The following is a 6000-nucleotide window of genomic DNA, read 5'->3' on the forward strand; positions in this document are numbered from 1 at the left end:
GCAAACGAGCAGGTGAATAATAATACCATCAACATTCTCTTTGATTAGTCTTGTGAGAGATAAAAAGCTTATCATTGTGGTAGAGCTTGGATTACCTTTCCAAATATTTTACCTTAAACTGTACTTGTACTCACTAAAACATACCCATTCCTACACATCAAATCCAGACAGCCCCAAAATACATCTCTACAGTGTATTATTAGCTACTTGACATTTCCTTACACCAAAATACAGTCTGCTGCAAGTCTGGAAATTTCTCAGTAAAACACAAATTATTTATAAGAAATGTTAAATAAAACTGTTCATATTGCTTAATCTAAAAATGACAATTTCTACATTTGTAGAACATACTGTAGAGCAAATCTACAAATTAAAAATATGAGAGAAAACATATAAAATAGTCATAAAAGGCCAAATGTGGTGCCTCATGCCTTTGAGAGGACAAGGTGGGCAGATTGCTTGAACCCAGGAGTTCCAGACCAGCCTGGACAACATGGTGAAACCCTGTCTCTACAATAAATATAACAACAACAACAAATATCAGCTTGGTGTGGTGGTGTACCCCCGCGACCCCAGCTACTTGGGAAGCTGAGCTGGGAGGACCACTTAAGGCCAGGAAGTTGAGGCTGCAGTGAGCTGTAATTGTGCCACTGCACTCCAGCCTGGACAAAAGAGTGAGACCCTACCTCAAAAAAAAAGGGCCATCAATATGTAAAGCCTTATTCTAATGTAAAATATGATAATTATAATTTGATTATACCTAACCCTCATATATTCTTTAAACAAGTCCCATGCAAGGGAAAACTGCCCAATAATTAAAGGCACCATATTTTTAAGATTGTTTTAAAAAGAATATGTACATTAAATTCATTGGATCCCGCTTGTAGTCATTCATATTTATTCTTGATTATTTATCAGGCATGAGTTTCCTACCAACTTCCAAGATGGTTCAATATTCCTTTTCTTTATCAGTATGCATGTGACATGATGGTACAGATATATTCTGAGCTTTTTCAGGTAAAAGAGTTATGATGACCAAATATAATAAAGTTTTAGCAGAAAGAATAATGTGCTCAGTGTCAGAAGGCCTAGATTCAGGTCCTGAACTTTTCATTTTCTGTGTGTGTGAATGAATGGTGATGAGGGTGATCACTTTACTTATCTGAGCCTCAATTTTCTTGTTTGTTAGTTGTAAATGATGATGCTAAACTCATTTTTATGCAGAAAAAAATTATGTATGTCAAAATGCTTTGGAATTTGTAATATATAAATATTATATATTACTATTGATTGTATTCTCCAGTCTCAGCATATATTGGAAAAGTTTAGAATAAATCAATGTCATTTAAGTCATATGTTGCATCAGATTTATTTCAGGCCAATAGAAGTAATCACTGAGTGCTCCATATGTGCCACACACCAAGCTAAATAGTTTACATGGATGATCTTAGTCAAAACTCATTAAAAACCTTTAAGAAAAATATTATCATAATTCCATTTATATTAAGTCATAGCAAGCTTAATTAATTAACCCAAATGTTGAACTAACATATTAAAATAAATTGAACCTTTTATTTATTTATTTATTTTGAGACGGAGTCTCAGGCTGAAGTGCAGTGGCATGATCTTGGCTCACTGCAAGCTCCACCTCCTGGTGAGAGGTGAAGCCAGCTGGACTTGCTGGGTGGAGTGGGGACTTGGAGAACTTTTCTGCCTAGCTAGAGGATTATAAACGCACCAATCAGCACTCTGTGTCTAGCTAAAGGATTGTAAATGCACCAATCAGCACTCTGTAAAAACACACCAATCAGCACTCTGTGTCTAGCTAAAGGATTGTAAATGCACCAATCAGCACTCTGTAAAAACACACCAATTAGCACTCTGTGTCTAGCTAAAGGATTGTAAATGCACCAATCAGCACTCTGTAAAAACACACCAATCAGCACTCTGTGTCTAGCTAAAGGATTGTAAACACACCAATTAACACTCTGTAAAAATGTACCAGTCAGCACTTTGTGTCTAGCTAAAGGACTGTAAACACACCAGTCAGCGCTCTGTAAAATGGACCAATCAGCAGGATGTGGGCGGGGCCAAATAAGGGAATAAAAGCTGGCCACCCAAGCTAGCAGTGCAACCCCACCGGTCCCCCTCCACACTGTGGAGGCTTTGTTCTTTTACTCTTCACAATAAATCTTGCTGCTGCTCACTCTTTGGGTCTGCACTACCTTTATGAGCTGTAACACTCACCAGGAGGGTCTGTGGCTTCATTCCTGAAGTCAGCAAGACCAGGAACCCACCAGGAGGAACAAACAATATGGACATGCCACCTTTAAGAGCTGTAACACTCACCAAGGGGGTCTGCAGCTTCATTCCTGAAGTCAGCAAGACCACGAACCCACCAGGAGGAATCAACAATATGGACGTGCCACCTTTAAGAGCTGTAACACTCACTGTGAAGATCTGCAGCTTCACTCCTGAAGTCAGCGAGACCACGAACCCACTGAAAGGAAGAAACTCCAGACACATCTGAACATCTGAAGGAACAAACTTGGGACACACCATCTTTAAGAGCTGTAACACTCACCGCGAAAGTCTGCGGCTTCATTCTTGAAGTCAGCGAGACCAAGAACCCACCGGAAGGAATAAAGTCCAGACACACTGGGTTCACGCCCTTCTCCTGCATCAGCCTCCCGAGTAGCTGGGACTGCAGGTGCCTGCCACTACGCCAGGCTGGTTTTGTTTTTGTATTTTTAGTAGAGACGGGGTTGCACCATGTTAGCCAGCATGGTCTTAATCTCCTTACCACGTGATCTGCCCACCTTGGCCTCCCAAAGTGCTGGGATTATAAGTATGAGCCACCCTGCCCAGCCCTTATTTTTTTTATTTTTTATTTTTTAAAAAATATATATAGGCTAAGATGTTGACGTACTTTCACAGCCAGGTAAAAGGAAGTTAAATCTTTTATGTGTGGTAATGACTATCTTCAGAAATGAGACACTTTAGAAACACAAAATAAAAATAAAAATGATTTATTTAATGCAAAACATGCAAACAAATAAAAAGAGAATTCCAGTTTCTGATATTTAATTAGAAATGCAGTTATTGTAAAATCACGTCTCAGGGGTTGTATGGCCTTTAGAGGTTACTTGTCCAGTGCCTTCTGTTTTCAGCTCATAGCTCCATCACCTTTGAAACATTCTCCAGAAACAGGCTTCTAGATCACTCATTTTCAGCTGCTATGTTTCTCTCCACCATACGTGATAAGATATTCACAGGCATAATAAACACACATAGACTCAAGAGCTGAGGCAATGAAAAGAAAAAGTTATGAGTTATATGCAATTCTTGCCAAGATTATTAAAATACTCCTTTCACATCTAAATGATAGCTATATCTTTATATAAAAACACTATATTTCATTTATTTTAAAAAGAAAGGCTTCTGAATTTTAGTGATTCAAACTATAATTGTAGCAATTTCCCTCCAACACAGCAGTCTGTTATGATGCTAATTTTAAGAATCTCTGTCCCAGCCTACATGTCTGCAAGTCAAGTGTCAGGTTATGTTAGTTTGCTTTTGGTTCCAAGTGACACAGAGCTTCAATCAAACTCACATAGAAACAAACTGGAAATTTACTTGCTGATGTAGTCACTAAGTTCAGAGATATGGCTTATTTCAGGTATTGTTTGATCCGGAGGTGCACCACGGCATCAGGCCTCCAGTTTCTTTCTTATGATATTCTTTCCTGTCTTTCCTCTTTACCCTCATCCTCATATTGCCTTCTCCTCGCACTCTGTAGCAAGCATGTTTTCAATAGTTTCAGACATTCTACTATCATACATATTGATCGTATTGTCATATTGATGAAAAAGTAGAGCACATTTGTCACAAAAGTTCCAGAACAGATCCTGAGACTGATTCTGTTACTTGCCAAACAAACATAAGCCAATAATTATACACATGAATGAAATGCATTGATCGCTTAATTTTTTTTTTTTTTTTTTTTTTATGATGGAGTCTCACACTTTTGCCCAGGCTGGAGTTCAGTGGCACGATCTTGGCTCACTGCAGCCTTTGCCTCCTGGGTTCAAGCAATTCTTCTGTCTCAGCCTCCTGAGTAGCTGGGACTACAGGCACCTGCCACCACACCCAGCTAATTTTTGTATTTTTAGGAGAGACAGGGTTTCACCATATTGTTCCGGTTGGTCTCAAACTCCTGACCTCAGGTGATCCCTCAGCCTCGGCCTTCGAAAGTGCTGGGATTACAGGCATGAGCCACCGCACCCGGTTGATTGCTTAATCTTGATTACATGTTTACACCTGGAGGAGTAAGTTGACATCCTGGTAACCACATAGACCTTCTCCAAAACTTAGAGGCTATTGGAAGAAGAAAAAGAAAGTCAGTGCTGGGAATATGAACAGAAAAGTCCACTCTTAAGAACTCCGTCTCTTGGAAAGAAAGTCTTTCTCTTTTAAGCAGCCTGATATAAAGTCCTTCTCTTCTTAAACTTAATTGTTTGCCCATGGATTGCACTCATTAGTTCATGTTTTGTCTCTGCAAATCCACAGAACAAGTTAAATCCTTGGTATACACTGAGTATGGTTGATGGATTAGGCAATTTAAGCTACTATAATAAAATATCATAGAACAGGTAGGTTATACACATCAGAAATTTGTTTCTCACAGTTCCAGAGGCTGGAAGACCAAGATTAAGACATCAGCAGAGTCTGGTGTCTTAATCTGTCTGGTGAGGGACCCATTCCTCAAAGATAGTGCCTTCTCATTGTGACCTCACATGTTGGAAGGGGTAGCTAGCTCCCTGGAGTTTCCTTTATCAGGGAATTAATCCCAGTCATGAGGGTTTTACCCAAATGACCTAATTACCTCCCCAAAGCCCCACTTCCTAATACCATTATCTCAGGGGTTAGGATTTTAGCATGTGAATTTTGAGGGGACACAGATATTTACACCACAGTAGTTGTAATTTACTAATAGGATATCTTACTCTCATAGTTTACTTTGTGAATAAACCTCCCTAGAATAGTAAAGGCTTAGCATCATGTATATTTGGTGCACTTAAATAAGAATATCCAAGGAAAATAAATGCTATATGAATATTCCACTTATGTCCTTATTTCCAAGGAAAACTAGCAATTTATGAGGTCCTATCTTGACATTACATAGAAAGAGTGTACTTACGAAATAAATATTAATCAAAATGCATTCAATATTCTCTAGCTTATGGGACAGATTATGTGACTAGGACCTTTATTTCTGGATTGGGAAAAGTAGACTTTAGCTTATTTAATGCCAGATTAATAGAGGCTCATTGGAGCAGATTAAGTCCTTGAACCTTGAGTACAATCATCTTAGGCCTTAGTTTTTCACAACAGGCAATCAGAGAAAGTGTTGTCAGTTCTCTCTTCAATTTATCGAAAGGCCTTTCCACTCTGCAAGAGTTTAGAGATGTAGCTAGATCCTTACCTCTTTCTAGGACTACAAAATGGCATCCCATTGCGGTTAATCTTTTAAGATTCCTTTATCACAGTTTAATCATTCTCTTAAAAGGGCTGTGCCTTTCTCACACGAGGTTCTGTCTCATTATTAATGGAAAGAAACTATATTTTCCTTTTCTGTGGTAGAAGAGGAATTGATCTTAAAGGAAGCAAGAAACAGAGTTAAAACTGAGGAGGCTCCTTAGAATGTTGCTATTAATTACATTGGATGTTAACCCCAGCAAAGTATTTAGAATTACACTAGTGATTTTTCTTCATCCCAAACTTGACAAATGAATTGATAGATGTGTCACAAAGAATTTCCTTCCTGGTTAACAGATGGCATGTTCCAATTAGATGTTAGAACATTTTGAATTGTGATAGGGCTACTGAAAGGAAAATCTGTGGTGTCTCAACCATAAAAAAACTACTCTAAGTTCTTTTTTTGAATAAAATGCCCTTTTTCATTCCTACTATGGGTATAACTAGCGATCAAACCTGTCC

Source organism: Homo sapiens, chromosome 11 (assembly GCF_000001405.40).
Source record: "Homo sapiens chromosome 11, GRCh38.p14 Primary Assembly".
NCBI lineage: Eukaryota > Metazoa > Chordata > Mammalia > Primates > Hominidae > Homo > Homo sapiens.